This window comes from Homo sapiens, chromosome 5 (assembly GCF_000001405.40).
Source record: "Homo sapiens chromosome 5, GRCh38.p14 Primary Assembly".
NCBI lineage: Eukaryota > Metazoa > Chordata > Mammalia > Primates > Hominidae > Homo > Homo sapiens.
In genome coordinates, this window is record NC_000005.10 from 6,647,032 (window position 1) to 6,663,425 (window position 16,394).

The 16,394-nt window shown below is 44.2% G+C and overlaps 1 protein-coding gene across 4 annotated transcripts in view, besides 3 other annotated features; it reads left to right on the forward strand.

Annotated features, from left to right (window-relative positions):
* Positions 1–16,394, forward strand: part of SRD5A1 (steroid 5 alpha-reductase 1) — a 40,947-nt gene that overhangs the window by 13,592 nt on the left and 10,961 nt on the right. For 2 of the 4 annotated variants that reach the window (NM_001324323.2, NM_001047.4), the window contains 3 exons: positions 4,811–4,977; positions 9,047–9,148; positions 15,785–15,935. In NM_001324323.2, coding sequence (NP_001311252.1) covers positions 4,811–4,977; positions 9,047–9,148; positions 15,785–15,935 — 420 coding nt within the window. Of the gene's footprint in view, positions 1–4,810; positions 4,978–6,415; positions 6,606–9,046; positions 9,149–15,784; positions 15,936–16,394 lie in introns of all 4 variants that reach the window. The other 2 variants (NR_136739.2, NM_001324322.2) reach the window with 2 other exon arrangements.
* Positions 1,807–2,500: an enhancer, noted in NCBI's record as "H3K27ac-H3K4me1 hESC enhancer chr5:6648951-6649644 (GRCh37/hg19 assembly coordinates)". NCBI's record gives its function as "activates a minimal SCP1, AML or CMV promoter by ChIP-STARR-seq in naive H9 embryonic stem cells {active_cell/tissue: H9 hESC(naive)}" and the evidence as "EXISTENCE:reporter gene assay evidence [ECO:0000049][PMID:30033119]".
* Positions 2,501–3,192: an enhancer, noted in NCBI's record as "H3K27ac-H3K4me1 hESC enhancer chr5:6649645-6650336 (GRCh37/hg19 assembly coordinates)". NCBI's record gives its function as "activates a minimal SCP1, AML or CMV promoter by ChIP-STARR-seq in naive H9 embryonic stem cells {active_cell/tissue: H9 hESC(naive)}" and the evidence as "EXISTENCE:reporter gene assay evidence [ECO:0000049][PMID:30033119]".
* Positions 13,368–13,597: an enhancer, noted in NCBI's record as "active region_22335". NCBI's record gives its function as "activates an Ori minimal core promoter by ATAC-STARR-seq in GM12878 lymphoblastoid cells {active_cell/tissue: GM12878}" and the evidence as "EXISTENCE:reporter gene assay evidence [ECO:0000049][PMID:35858748]".

The following is a 16,394-nucleotide window of genomic DNA, read 5'->3' on the forward strand; positions in this document are numbered from 1 at the left end:
TATCCAGTAGTCATTCAGGAGCAGGTTGTTCAGTTTCCATGTAGTTGTGTGGTTTTGAGTGAGTTTCTTAATCTTGAGTTCTAATTTGATTGCACTGTGATATAAGAGACTGTTTGTTATGATTTCCATTCTTTTGCATTTGTTGAGGAGTGTTTTACTTCCAACCATGTGGTCAATTTTAGAATAAGTGTGATGTGGTGCTGAGAAGAGTGTATATTCTGTTGATTTGGGGTGGAGAGTTCTGTAGATGTCTACTAGGTCCACTTGATCCAGAGCTGAGTTCAAGTCCTGGATATCCTTGTTAATTTTCTGTCTCATTGATCTGTCTAATATTGACAGTGGGGTGTTAAAGTCTCCCACTATTATTGTGTGGGAGTCTAAGTCTCTTTGTAGGTCTTTAAGAACTTGCTTTATGAATCTGGGTGCTCCTGTATTGGGTGCATATATATCTAGGATAGTTACCTCTGCTTGTTGCATTGATCTCTTTACCATTATGCCCTTCTTCGTCTCTTTTGACCTTTTTGGTTTAAAATCTGTTTTCTCAGAGACTAGGATTGCAACCCCTGCTTTTTGCTTTCCATTTGCTTGGTAAATATTCCTCTATCCCTTTATTTTGAGCCTATGTGTGTCTTTGCACGTGAGATGGGTCTCCTGAATACAGCACACCGATGGGTCTTGTCTCTTTATCCAGTTTGCCAGTCTGTGTCTTTTAATTGGGGCATTTAGCCTGTTTACATTTAAGGTTAGTATTGTTATCTGTGAATCTGATCCTTTCATTATGATGCTAGCTGGTTATTTTGCCTGTTAGTTTATGCAGTTTCTTCATAGTGTCAATGATCTTTACAATTTGGTATATTTTTGCAGTGGCTGGTACCGGTTGTTCCTTTCCATGTTTAGTGCTTCCTTCAGGAGCTCTTGTAAGGCAGTCCTGATGGTGACAAAATCTCTCAGCATTTGCTTGTCTGTAAAGGATTTTATTTCTCCTTCACTTATGAAGCTTAGTTTGGCTGGATATGAAATTCCAGATATGAAAGAAAAGAAAATTCTTTTCTTTCAGAATGTTGAATATTGGCCCCCACTCTCTTCTGGCTTGTAGGGTTTCTGCCAAGAGATCTGCTGTTAGTCTGATGGGCTTCCCTTTATGGGTAACCAGCCCTTTCTCTCTGGCTGCCCTTAACATTTTTTCCTTCATTTCAACCTTGGTGAATCTGACAATTATGTGTCTTGGGGTTGCTCTCCTCGAGGAGTATCTTTGTGGTGTTCTCTGTATTTCCTGAATTTGAATGTTGGCCTGCCTTGCTAGGTTGGGGAAGTTCTCCTGGATAATATCCTGAAGAGTGTTTTCCAACTTGGTTCCATTCTCCCCGTCACTTTCAGGTACAAGAGTCAAACGTAGATTTGGTCTTTTCACATAGTACCATATTTCTTGGAGGCTTTGTTTCTTTTCACTCTAAGTCTTCTCGCTTTATTTCATTGAGTTGATCTTCAATGACTGATATCCTTTTGCCACTTGATTGATTTGGCTATTGATACTTGTGTATGCTTCACGAAGTTCTTGTGCTGTGTTTTTCAGCTGCATCATGTCTTCACCTGTTCTTCTCTAAGCAGGTTATTCTAGTTAGCAATTCCTCTAACCTTTTTTCCAGGTTCTTATCTTCCTTGCATTGGGTTAGAACATGCTCCTTTGGCTCAGAGGAGTTTGTTATTACCCGCCTTCTGAAGCCTACTTCTGTCAATTTGTCAAACTAATTCTCTATCCAGTTTTGTTCCCTTGCTGGCAAGGAGTTGTGATCCTTTGGAGGAGAAGAGGCATTCTGGCTTTTTGAATTTTCAGCCTTTTTGCACTGGTTTTTCCCCATCTTTGTGGATTTATCTGCCTTTGGTCTTTGATGTTGGCGATATCGATACTATTTTTTTTCGGTTTGTTAGTTTTCCTTCTAACAGGCCCCTCTGCTGCAGGTCTGCCTGAGTTTGCTGGAGGTCCGCTCCAGACCCTGTTTGCCTGGGTATCACCAGTGGAGGCTGCAGAACAACAAACATTGCTGCCTGTTCCTACCTCTGGAAGCTTCATCCCAGAGGGGCACCCGCCAGATGCCAGCCAGAGCTCTCCAGTATGAGGTGTCTGTCGGCCCCTACTGGGAGGAGTCTTCCAGTGTGGATACACAGGGGGTCAGGGACCCACTTGAGGAGGTTGTCCCTTATCAGAGCTCGAACTGTGTGCTGGGAGAACCGCTGCTCTCTTCAGAGCTGTCAGGCAGAGACGTTTAAGTCTGCTGAAGCTGCGCCCAGAGCCGCCCCCTCCCCCAGGTGCTCTGTCCCAGGGAGCTGCGGTTGGCTCTGCCCAGTTCGAACTTCCTGGGGCTTTGTTTACACTATGAGGGTAAAACCGTCTACTTAAGCCTCAGCAGTGGTGGATGCCCCTCCCCCCACCAAGCTCTAGCATCCCAGGTCAACCTCAAACTGCTCTGGAGCAGCGAGAATTTCAAGCCAGTGGATCTTAGCTTTCTGGGCTCCATCGGCATGGGACCCACTGAGCCAGGCACTGGAGAGAATGGTCTGCTGGTTGCGAAGACTATGAGAAAAGCGCAGTGTCTGGGCCAGAATGCACCGTTCCTCCTGGTACAGTCTCTCATGGCTTCCCTTGGCTAGGAAAGGGAAATCCCTTGACCCCTTGCACTTCCTGGGTGAGGCGATGCCCCACCCTGCTTCGGCTCGCCCTCCGTGGGCTGCACCCACTGTCCAACCAGTCCCAGTGAGATAAGCCAGTTACCTCAGTTGGAAATGCAGGAATCACCCACCTTCTGTGTCGATCTCGCTGGGAGCTGCAAGACCGGAGCTGTTCCTATTCAGCCATCTTGCCCGCCCACCCTTCACAATCTATTAATATATAGAGAGCAGTAATATTGCCCAAAAAGGGAAAGTTAATCTTTGTGGTTAATCCTCTCCCCTGAGTCTCATTTTGCCTTTTCTAGAATTTCATAAGTCTAAATTGGATTTATTTCATTGGTAACAGTGCTATTCATGTTGTCTTTCTTTCTTCTCGGGTCAGTTTTGGTCATCTGTGTCTTTCAAGGACTTTGTCTATTTCATCAAGTTGTTAAATTTATTGGTATAAGGTTGTTCATAATAGTTCCTTATTATCTGAGTGGATCACGTGAGCCCAGGAGTTCAAGACCAGACTAGAGATCAGACATAGAGAGACCCTGTCTCTACAAAAAAAAGTTTTTAAATTAACCAGGTGTGGTGGTGTGTGCCTGAGGTCCCAGCTACTCAGGAAGCTGAGGCAGGAGGATCACTTGAGCCTAGGATGTTGAGGCTGCAGTGAGCCATGATTGCCCCACTGCACTCTAGCCTGAGTGACAGAGCAAGACCCTGTCTTGAAAAAAAAAAAAAAAGAGTTCCTTATTATCCTCTTAAGGTCTGTAGGATATGTAGTGATGTCCCCTCTTTCAATGTGTTATACACTTATATTAAAAAGAAAATTCAAACAGAGAATAACATTTTGCATTCTCTTTATAATTTTCTAATTTCTTGTCCTTTTATTTTAACTCCTTAAACCTTTAGTAAAATGCACCTAAGCCAGTGTGGTACAACAGAACGTGATCTTTCTTTTTTTTTTTTTAATTATACTTTAAGTTTTAGGGTACATGTGCACATTGTGCAGGTTAGTTACATATGTATACATGTGCCATGCTGGTGTGCTGCACCCACTAACTCGTCATCTAGCATTAGGTATATCTCCCAATGCTATCCCTCCCCCCTCCCCCCCACCCCACAACAGTCCCCAGAGTGTGATGTTCCCCTTCCTGTGTCCATGTGATCTCATTGTTCAATTCCCACCTATGAGTGAGAATATGCGGTGTTTGGTTTTTTGTTCTTGTGATAGTTTACTGAGAATGAACATGATCTTTCAATTGCCCCGATTTACATTTAAGCTCAGCCACTCACTAGCTTGTGGCCTTGAGCAACTTACTTTACCACTCTGAGTCTTAATTTTATCCTCTATCAAATGTGGATAAGAGTGCCTCTGCCTGGTTAGCTGAGCTGGGGGCAAGGAGTTGCTGGGGGAATTGGGGGTGGGGCTAGCAGGTGAAAGTGCTCAGTGAATGGAAGCCATTGCAATGGTGATGGATGATGTGATGATGTGTTCCAAATCTTATTACTTAGACTAGGACTAGTTAATGGTTTTAGGATAGTGGAAATCTTGAGAGCCTCTTGAAGCCCCTAGTTTTCTCAAATTCAGTGTATTCTGTTTTATATTGCATGTAAGTAGAATCTGGAGTTTGTACACTGTGGTAAACATGATTGAAACGTGGTAATGCTTTATTGAAAAATCTGCTTTTTGGCTGGATACAGTGGCTCACGCCTATAATCCCAACATTTTGGGACAACAAGGCAGGAAGATCACTTGAGGTCGAAGTTTGAGACCAGCCTGAGCAACAGATTGAGACTTGGTCTCTACAAAATAATAATAATAATAATAATAAGTGTGGTGGCACATGCTTGTAGTCCCAGCTACTCGAGAGGCTGGGACAGGAAGATCGCTTAAGCCCTGGAGCTCAAGGCCGCAGTGAGCCATGATCAAGCCACTGTACTGCAGCCTGGGCAACACAGCAAGAACCTGTCTCAAAAAATAAAATTAAAATCAAAATCCACTTTTAGCTTAGATATAATAAATTAGTATAAATGTTACTGAGGATGACATTTGTACAAGAAAGTAAGATTTAAAACCCAAATCATTTAAGATAGGATTACAGAAATGATTATCTTTAATTTTTTAAAAAATTGTGCCTGTTTCTTGTTTCCTAAGGTGCTTAATTTACCCATTTCTGATGCGAGGAGGAAAGCCTATGCCACTGTTGGCGTGTACAATGGCGATTATGTTCTGTACCTGTAACGGCTATTTGCAAAGCAGATACTTGAGCCATTGTGCAGTGTATGCTGATGACTGGGTAACAGATCCCCGTTTTCTAATAGGTGAGTGTCCACAGCAGTGAACTCCGCCTTGTTCACATCATTGCTTTTATATTGATGTCCCAGTGGTTTCTAATGAGAAAGTCCAAGCTTCCTGTGAGAACAAAGACAACAGAGAAAGCAGCAGCACCCCGGAGTCCCATGGGAGAGCCCAGCTGTCTCAGCACAGCTGGGGGCAGAGAGGTGACGCAGGTGCTGGGCACCTTCCCCCGCACGGGCAGGCACTGAAGCACAGGTGCCTGGTCAGGCCAAGAACCCAAAAATAGCAGTGGGCTGTAGCAGAATGAGCAGGGACTAAAGATTGAGACCCTTTGGCCACTCATTGACCACATAATCTCCTGCGGTTCCTTCCATGACATGAGGAAAACCCAGACTGGGTTAGCTTCCTACAGTGCAGCTTCTGTGATTCTATGAACTTGAATCAACTTTTAGGTCTATGAAGTTGTTGAATTTTTTTATTTGTATCAGTTAATGTGAATTAATGTACATTTTCAACCTCTAATTATAACTTTTTAAGTTCTAAGCAAAAATGAAAATAAAACAGCCATCAAAAATATTTGCAAGAGCATTAAAAATTAACACTCTGGCTGGGTGCAGTGGCTCACACTGTAATCCTAGCACTTTGGGAGGCTGAGGTGGGCAGATGACTTGAATCCAGGAGTTCAAGACCAGCCTGGGCAACATGGCGAAACTCCAGCTCTACAAAAAATACAAAAACGTAGCTGGGCATGGTGACACGCACCATGGTCCCAGCTTACTCAGAGGCACTGAGGTGGGAGGATCACCTGAGGCCAGGAGATCAAGGCTGCAGTAAGCCATGATTGTGCCACTGCGTTCCAGCCTGGGTGACAGAGTGAGACTCTGTCTCAAAAAAAAAAAAAAAAAAAACTCAGGGATCTTATATATAAGAAAGGTTCTTCTATATATTTGTTTAGTCTATCCTAGCATTTAGATATTAAACCATACTGAGGTGTTGCTTACAATGGTAGCATGCTAAAAGTCTGAAGTCAGTCTGTCAGATTTGCAAACTACCCTGCAGTGCTTCACCTTAAGCTACATAAAGTGACCTTACATTGCATTGTGCTTTTTCTCCATGTGTATTAATTTATAATCATAGAAATAAACTAACACTTGGATAGTACTTTGTTGCTGAGAGATCCCTTTCACATTTCTCAGCCATGTTTTTTGTTGGTGAATTAGAATTTTATTCCAAGGTTTCATCATACCTGAGGATCGTTACAGTGAGACACCTGTCCCTCCTCTACAAAAGGAGGGTTGGCTGAGAAGGCGTTTCAAGATCCTTTTCTAGCTCCAGAGTCTGTGCCTCCATGAAATGCTAGACTAAATTCTTTGGTACTAAACTGTTGTACACTACCCCCAAATATCTTCTTGGTTTACCTGCTTTTTGACTACTTTATTTTCTTCTGCCCTACCTGTCAAGAGGAAGAACAGGCTTTTGAGTTCCTGTGCAGATCACACGATTTATGCCTCCCCATGTTCTCTGAGGCAGAAAGGATGTCCCTAAGATGTGAAAGGTCAGAAGAGTTACACAGCTGGCCCAAGACATCTAGACGCAGTGAATGGCAGAGCGGTGATTTCCACCACCTCACCAAGCTGAGCTTCCGCAAGTGGTAACAAGGAATAAGAGGAAGGGGAATTTCTTTCTTTTTTTCTTTTTAACTAAAGATACAGATTTTAAATGTTTGCCAGAGAGTCTCATGGGACTCACCTCTATGGTGAACAACAACAGAAGAACCCTCCTGTTTAAAGTAGCTCCGCAGATGGTTCGCATCACGTAGAGGTGACTGTGAAGCTGGTCAGAGATTCCAAACACCAATCAATTGTAGACAGACCTCTTGACTTCTCTACAATTAAACAGAAGGATTTGAAAAGGAAAAAATATGCCAAGTGGAAGACAATCTAGGTTACCTTTTGTGTGTTATATTTATTGCCTAGAGTTTATTGTTTTTGTGAGGAAACAGACGTGAAATTACATAAATAAGTAATTATGCCTACTGTAGTTACCATGAAGTAATAAGCAAATAATAATAATATATTTTTTTTTTTGAGATGGAGTTTCTCTATCGCCCAGGCTGGAGTGCAGAGGTGCAATCTCGGCTCACTGCAACCTCTGCCTCCTGAGTTCAAGAGATTCTCCTGCCTCAGCCTCCCGAGTAGCTGGGACTATAGGTGCATGCCACTATGCCCAACTAATTTTTTTTATTTTTTTTAGTAAAGACAGGGTTTCATCATGTTGGCCAGACTGGTCTTGGACTCCTGACCTCAGGTGATTCACCCGCCTCAGCCTCCCAAAGTGGTGGGATTACAGGTGTGAGCCACCATGCCCAGCAAATTTCTAACAAAAGGTTTTTCAAAACAGCAAAAGTGGTTAATCTAAAATATTTTATAGAAAGATTTTAAGTTTTTTTTTTGTTTGTTTGTTTGTTTTTTCTTGAGGCAGCCTGTCATCCAGGCTGGAGTGCAGTGGCGTGATCTTGGCTCATGGCAACGTGTGCCTCCCAGGCTCAAGCAATTCTTGTGCCTCAACCTCAGAGTAGCTGGGATTACAGGCTTGCGCCATCTTACCTGGTTAATTTTTGTATTTTCAGTAGAGATGGGGTTTCACCATGTTGGCCAGGCTGGTCTTGAACCCCTGGCCTGAAGTGATCCACCCACCTTGGCCTCCCAAAGTGCTGGGATTATAGGTGTGAGCCACTATGCCCAGCCAGATTTTAAGATCTTATAAATGGAATTAAATATTTAGCTTAGATGAACACAAGTACTAGTTTTCTTCCAATCTAAGCAATAAAGGGAGCTTGTCTCCTGGAAGAAACATAAAGTAACCATGTTATTTAGACAACATGATTCCTTTCTAGAATCTCATATTGGAAGCCAAATTACCTAGGGGTGAAATACTAAAATCCCAAAAAGGTAGCAAATCAACTATAAATGTATGGATCCAATAAATGACTTACAAAACGTATTATAAAACTTGGTATGAACTGCTTTGCTTAGGAAAAAAAAATAAAAGCTGATTACAGTGGCAAAATCAGAAGGAAGAAATCTTGAAACCCTTGCTATAGACCAGAAGGTTTTCCATGTCCTTTTTCTAACTGTGAAAAAGTATTCAATGTCACTGGTGATGACTCAGATAATAATGATGCCCCACGTGTACATTGATTTAATATTGAACTGAATGCCAGCACTAAGCAGCATCTGTCTTTCCCATTTTAAAAAAGTATATCAGAACCATCAAGTTAACCTCTTTTTATCAATATTTCTTTTATAAAACACTGTTTTGGCCTTTTGCCTTTTCTTGATGGAATTAATTGATGTGATACTAACAACTCTCCTTTAAGTGATGAAAAATCCCTGCGGATTCGTAAGAATAGGAGAGAAAACTGGGGATACCGTGGGATTCTGGGGAGAACCATGCAGGCGGCCACGGGAGACTCTTGTCAAGAACCGAGGAGGAAGGACTGACCGAGCAATGCTGATTGATGAGCCTGCAGGAATTCTGCTGTGGGGGAAACATAGATGCGCATTAATTTGTTTAAATGAGGTTGTAAATAAGAGAAGACCAGAGATCTACTCCTAGGAACTGCCACCCTTCAAGGGGTGACGTACAGCCAGTGGTGACAGAGCAGCACAGGAGCATCACCCCTCCTGGTTCATGTGGTGGAGATGGCAGCATTGCCTCATGCAGATTTTGTGAGAAATAAGTGGGATGCGTCTGTCTGGTGGGCTGACTCCCTGATGCTCCCTGGAAAGGAGCCGTGTGCCCAAGTCAGATTTCTGTCCATACTTGTCATCCTGAAGATGTAGATTGTGATGAACAGGTCAAAGTATTTTGAGTACATTAGATGATGTATTTGTATTATTAGGAAAACAAAGCCCTGCTTGGCATACCTGACAACAGTCCTTAATGGTTTTTACTACCAGTTATGGCTAATATGTTACACTAACAATGGTAATCTGAAGGGTTGCAATAATACTGTTCAGTCAGGCTGGGGCTCGTAGTGAAATTTTACGGTTTATTAGCCATAATCATCTTGCAATTTTTTTCCTTTAGGTTTTGGCTTGTGGTTAACGGGCATGTTGATAAACATCCATTCAGATCATATCCTAAGGAATCTCAGAAAACCAGGAGATACTGGATACAAAATACCAAGGGGTACGTACAGAAAGTGAAGAATTTCTGTGAAAGTTGCTTGCCATGGTTCCTGGCTATTTTAGTGTTGCCAGCTCTAAGAAGTAGTAGCGTAGTAGTTATTAGCTACAAGTTTTCAGTGTAAGTCATCATTATTAATAACAAGTGCTATTGTTATTGTCTTATTAGAATAACAAAAGACCCAAATCTAGCTAACTGAACAGTTATTAAACAAAGCAGAAACTCCAGTTATATCTGTGCTTGGGAAGAGAGGATGAGGAAGAATTTATGATTGACGAGGAGTGTCTGACACTTTTGTTTCTAGCAGTATAATGGAATAGATACTTTGACCCTCCTCTGAAAACAGTTTAAAACATTGGAATATTTTGAAAATCTTCTTAAACGCATCAGTATACTATCAAGAAAGGAACTAATCATCAGAGGACAAGATCTAGGTGAATGTTGGAATCTGGAGCGTGTCTTTTGAGAATTTGTGATGAGGCGCCGACCACCATGCTGGTTTATAACCCAGATTCGCACTACTTGTATAGTATGAAAAATCTCAAGCCATAAATTAATTTCCGTGGCCTGGGGTAGTGGTGGACTCTCCTGGCCAGCAAAAGCCCAGATCCCCAAGGGGATGTGCATTCAACCTGAGTCTCAAAGAACCCAATGTGCCACGTTCCACAGAGTAAGAGGCACGGTCACAAGGTACAGAACCCACAAGGAAGTACAGCACCATGAGGGAGAGCGTAATTCAACATGAAAGATTTCAGATGTTAGAATTAATGGAAACATTATAAAGTGAGTACTTGAAATGCTTTTTAAAAGGAGTAGATTACAATTAGGAGTAAGAAGCAATGTACCATAAAAGGACTAGAAACCAATAGAGCTTCAGAAAAAATTTTTTAAAGTACATAAATCTAAAACTTTAATGGAGAAAGGGCGTGACATCACTTAGTTTGAAATTCTTCCACTTATGTTCCTAGAAACCATATGAGAATAGCAACAAAAACAAACAATGCTACAAACCTCAAATTACTTAAACTGTGACCCTGAGAACCTGGAATCAGCAAAGCCAGCTCCAGACGTGATGGTAGTGTGATAGAAGTGGCAGAGAAGAGAAAACATGACAGAGTCCTAGACAGGCTGCTGATCACCTATTCAGCCCCTGGGTGGATTGGGGAAGAATCCTCTCTTTGGTGTTGGGCTTATGAGCAAACTGCACCCTCATGGGGTCATCCCAAGGAGCCGCTTCCTCTGGCAGGTACAGTGGCTGGGAGAGCACAGTGTAAGCTGGATGGTGGCCCCCTCGCTTCCTGCCCAGCACCCTTGCATGGGGAACAGCATGATTCCAAATTAATCGGCAAGTGTTCATCCCCTGAAGGAGAGGGCCCTGTCCTGAGGAGGAGCTGCCATGAGCCAGACTAAGAAGGGACAGGGCACAGTCCTGGGGAAGGCAGAATGAAAAGGTGCAGAAGATACCAGAAGCCACAGACTGGCAGATTTGAGAAACACCACTTCCAAAAGAAAGGGCATCCCCAGAGACGGCAGGATCCCATGGGAGGGCCCTCCTGGGCCAGGCTGGTTACGGAAAGGCCTGCGGTGCCTTATACAGAGGGTCCTGTCCACTGTTCCACAGTAGTTGAGATGCCACAAAAACTTTTCAGCCCCTGTCCCTCCATTTCCTGCTCTCAGTGTCTGATCCTTGTTCTAATCCAACATATTCAAACCTGAACAACAAAAAAGGTACAATCCCCAAATCTGTGCAGTCATAACATTAGGACAGCAAAAAAGCAGCAAAACTTACCTGAGCAGAAACGTGTTTCACAAAGCAGGGGAAAATTGTAATCAAAATTCCAACATGAATTTTAAAATGTGAATGGAGGCCAAGCGTGGTGGCTGACGCCTGTAATCCCAGCATGTTGAGAGGCCGAGGTGGGCAGATCACATGAGGTCCAGAGTTCGAGACCAACCTGGCCAACATGGTAAAACCCCATCCCTACTAAAAACACAAAAATTAGCTGGGCGTGGTGGCACGTGCCTGTAATCCCAGCTACTTGGGAGGCTGAGACACGAGAATCACTTGAGTCTGGGAGGCAGAGGGTGCAGTTAGCTGAGATCATGCCACTGTATTCCAGCCTGGACGACAGAGTGAGACTCTGTCTAAAAAAAATAAAAAAAATAAAATGTGAATGGAGCAGTTGCAGAGTCTATACCCATCAGCTAAAGAACACCTGCGACGAACCCGCAATCTACAAACTTATTACCTGTCGCAGTAAAGGGAGACCTCTCCCTGTGATGTTTCCCCACAGCATGTAGCCGCCTTCCTGAAGCTAGTAATCAACCCAGCTTCCTGACGGCCTGTGGCCATCAATGGCATCTCTGTGAACAGACAGGCCAAAGGAAATGCAGAAGCTTGGCTGTAACTCTCAGGCAGCAGGAGGTGACACCAGACATCGGTGCAGATGACATGGGACACATGAGACTTAGGGAAGAAAATGCTTCTAAAATTCTTAATTTCTCCTCTCCAAGTACTAACCAGGCTCAGCCTTGCTTAGCTTCCAAGATCAGACAAGATCAAAATTCTTTATTTCTAATCATTTAAAAAAAAAAACAAACCACAGAAGCATGTTAGAAGATAGAAATGGAAAAGCAAAGAATATGAAACCTAGACTGGGTGCAGTGGCTCACACCTGTAATCCCAGCACTTTGGGAGGCTGAGGCAGGAGGATCACTTGAGGCCAGGAGTTCGAGACCAGCCTAGGCAACATAGCCAGACTCCCATCTCCACAAAAAAATTGAAAGAAAATTAGCCAGGCATGGTGGTGCACACCTGTAGTCCCAGCCACTCAGGAAGCTGAGGTGGGAGGATCACTTGAACCCAGGAGTTTGTGGCTGCAGTGAGCCTCGATCATACCACTGCACTCCAGAGGGAGACCCTGTCTCAAAAAAAAAAATCTTTTTTTTTTTTTTGAGACGGGGTCTCGCTCTGTCACCCAGGCTGGAGTGCAGTGGCGCGATCTCGGCTCACTGCAAGCTCTGCCTCTCGGGTTCACGCCATTCTCTTGCCTCAGCCCCCCGAGTAGCTGGGACTACAGGCGCCCGCCACCACGCCTGGCTAATTTTTTGTATTTTTACTAGAGATGGGGTTTCACCGTGTTAGCCAGGATGGTCTCGATCTCCTGACCTCGTGATCCGCCCACCTTGGCCTCCCAAAGTGCTGGGATTACAGGCGTGAGCCACCGTGCCCGGCCAAAAAAGATCATTCTTATTGTGAATGATGTTTTGGTGATAGCTGGAGAAGGTAGGGAAAATATATCCATCCTAGGCACATTGAAGTCCATGAAGAAGAAATCCAAAGCATTGGAACAGAATATATTTTAAAAACTAATTCAAGAAAGCTTTTGTGAAGTAAAACAAGACACAAGAGCGTCTGCCGTTTGCAGGTACGCACCCTATACCGGAGGAAGTGGACAGGAAACAGTGACGATCATCTGCACGTGCCATGAGTGGCTTGTAAGGGAAAGTTCGTTAGATTCTTCAGGGCAGCGTTCCGTGCCAGGGTCTTAGAGGCAGCAACACGAGAGGCCCAAGGAACGTGGAAGCCAAAATATTATCCTAGCTTTGGAGTCCCTCATGTAAAATCTGTCAGGTTTTGAAGACTCAGGTGTAGGGAGTCTGAGTGCTGTGCCCCATGAAGACTCCACCATGGTCGGCTTTGTGACCAGCTCCCTTCGCTGCAGACTCTTAATTTTGCAGGGCGTTTTCATGTGACACATTGATGGTTTCTAATACACAGGTGTGCCGTCTACATCCAGTGACTCCGTGAGGTCTTTCAGAAACGCTTCGCAGGACTCTGTTAATCATGGTGCCATAACTGGTTAGGGTCAAAGGAGCAAGTGACAAAATGAACAAATAAAGAGATAAAGAGAGGTGCACAGGTGTGACGTCCATAGTCAGTACATACAGGCTGAACTAGGGCTTAGGACAAGTGCTGTGGGCTGTGTGTGACAACCAGTTTGTGGTTTTGTAATGTGGCATCTGTAAGCAGCCTGTGTCTCAAGAGGACATTTTTTAGCAGATTGGCATCTGCAGGTTTTCCAGTCTAATTCCATGCTTACCAGTCCACCCATACGGTTCCACCACACCGTGTGTCCCACACCAGACACTTAAGAGAGAAGGTTCACTGAGCAGGCGGCATGCAGGAAGGCATCGTGGCCCCAGCCCTGCCCACAGGCTGTCTGCCCTTTGGGTGACTGGCATCTGCAGGGTATGGTACAAAGGTCCTTCCACGTCTGGGATTCACCTGCCCAGGGCTCTGATGAAATACAGATCATGATTAACGTAATCTTGTAGAAAGTTGAAGCAGTTACAGAAATGGGTGAATAAGAAAGTGAAAGTGACTAAGCTCCATGGCCCAGAAGGAACAGCGCTGTGAATGCTTTGGGTCCATTCTTGCAGGTGCTTCTGCAGGTGCACATGCCCACACATGGCGAATGACATTCTATTTATTGGGCATTAAGTTTGATATTTTTATGTTTTATATTGTCATTAAAAAGTTCACTTGTCAATGAATATTGATATTTGTATTAGTCTGTTTTCACTCTGCTATAAAGAACTACCTGAGACTGGGTAATTTATGAAGAGAAAATGTTTAATTGACTCACAGTTCCGCATGGCTGGGGAGGACTCAGGAAACTTACAATCATGGCAGAAGGCAAAGGGGAAGTAAAGACCTTCACATGGTGGCAGGAGAGAGAGCGAGTGAAGGGGGATCTGCCTCACTCTTTCAAACCATTACATGTCATGAGAATTCACTATCACAAGAAACCGCCTGCATGATCCAGTCACCTCCCACTGGGTCCCTTCCTTGTCCTGTGGGGATCACACTTCAAGATGAGATTGGGTGGGGACACAGAATCAAACCATATCAGTATTATTTTACAATTCTGAATTATTTCAAGCTTACAGAAAAGTAGTAGAGAGTTCATTATTGCAAACGTCTACATACCCCACCTTCCTTAAGAAAAAGAAAAGCACTGTGCTGTCTCGGGCTCAGCAAAACCATTTTCTTTCTTTTTAAAAAAATAGACCATCTCAGGCTGGGTGTCATGGCTCACACCTGTAATCCCAGCACTTTGGGAGGCCAAGAGAGGTGGGTCACCTGAGGTCAGGAATTCCACACCAGCCTAGCCAGCATAGTGAAACCCCATCCCTACTAAAAATACAAAACTCCAAAAAAAAAAAAAAAAGGTAGCCAAAAGCCCTCATGCATGCATGTAAGTTGCAGTGTGCTCAGAGATGTAGTCTCTACCCTATGCTGCAGTATTTGCTGAAATTGGTCTTATGACTTAGGGCGTAATAGGTTTGTCTTTTTTTTTTTTTTTTTTTTGAGACAGAGTCTAGGTCTGTCACCCAGGCTGGAGTGCAATGGCACGATCTCGGCTCATTGCAACCTCTGCCTCCTGGGTTCAAGCGATTCTCATGCGTCAGCCTCCCGAGTAGCTGGGACTACAGGTGTGTGCCATCACACCTGGCTGATTTTTGTATTTTCAGTATAGACAAGGTTTCACCATGTTGGCCAGGCTGGTCTCCAACTCCTGACCTCACATGATCCACCTGCCTCAGCCTCCCAAAGTTCTGGGATTAGAGGCGTGAGCCACTGCGCCCAGCCTAATTTTTTTTTAAAAAAAGCTCTGTCCTTACATGCCTTCAGAATTTTCTCAGCTCTGCAGACATAGTGTCCAGTTGGAACCTGGGGCAGATCACACCAGGCCTCTCTAAACACACTTGAGTAACCACAAAGCTACAGCCTGAGGGTGAGTCCCAAGTCCAAGGAGGGGCCTTCTGCCCTCCCTCTCTGCTGGGACCCTTCTCCCCACCCCTCATCTGGTCTTTGGAGTGTGCCAGCCATTGCTGTCTGCCTCAGGGCCTTTGCTGCATCTCTTCTCCTGCCTGGAGCACTCCTGAGAGCACCTCCAGCACCTGCCAGGCTGGCCCTCACCTGCAAGCCTTGAATCGACCCTCACCTTCCCTGTGGCCTGTTGCCAGCCACTCTGTGATAGTGACCTCCTCCACCCCATCCCAGCTCCGGGGCCCCCTCACTCTGCCCTGCCCCTCGCTACTCCTCCCCCTCCATGAGCTGTGTGCTCTCCTTGTTCATGACACTGGAGTTCATGGTTCTAGATGTGGGGAGGGTGTCTGTCCAAGTGCCTGGGCAGGGCATGGCCCATAATACGGACTCAGTGCATTTGTGAAGATGTGACGAATGAATGAATCTGTGCTTGAAAATGAATATCTTTGTCCCTCATTGCTCTAGGGTTCTATCTAGGTCCATTTTACATGGTTTACTCTGTATTCTCTGCTTGCATGATCCATCAGCAGGTGCACTGGTTTATTGGTGTCTTCCACTGTAACTGTATGTGTGTGTATTCACATAGACAGGTATTGATATACATATGTAGTTGATGATCAGAAGTTGTGATATGAATTAGTAAACCATGTAACGCTGGATATGTCTTACTGATTAACATTCTGTAAGGATAATATTTTTCCGTTCTTGAATTTATGTTCTCCAGGTAAGTATTCACTAGCATCTCTGAAGTCCGTATTTCATTTTGTAGTAAATGCACTACTTTGGTCTGTGTTTTCTTCTAGGAGGCTTATTTGAATACGTAACTGCAGCCAACTATTTTGGAGAAATCATGGAGTGGTGTGGCTATGCCCTGGCCAGCTGGTCTGTCCAAGGCGCGGCTTTTGCTTTCTTCACGTTTTGTTTTTTATCTGGTAGAGCAAAAGAGCATCATGAGTAAGTTTTAAAACACTTTTACCATTTGTAATTTGTTCTTTGACTATATTATTACCATTTTTCAGGCTAGATTTTTGAAGTGTTAATTTAAATCGCTGAATTCCAGTTTATTCTGTGCTTTGGCCAAACAAGTACAAAACCAAATAGCTGTAGAATCACCCAGCTCTAGGGAATAATCAGGTCCACATCAGCACAGTTGTTCTCTATACCACGTCCTTAGCCTCTCTGAATTGACAGTGCTGAATTCAGTGGTCAAGTTAGACACCAAGCAGGGGATTCAGGGCTCTGAATGGGAAATACTGATTAAAACAGATCCCTGACTGAGCAATAGCCAATGGCCAGCTTGCGAATGCTGCAGGTTGAGGAAGTCCTGAAGAGGTAGGTGAATCTCAGAGCCCAGCGACACTGGCAGAACTCATACACACAAGAGCTCTCCAGCTATGTGGTGGCTTAGGCCAT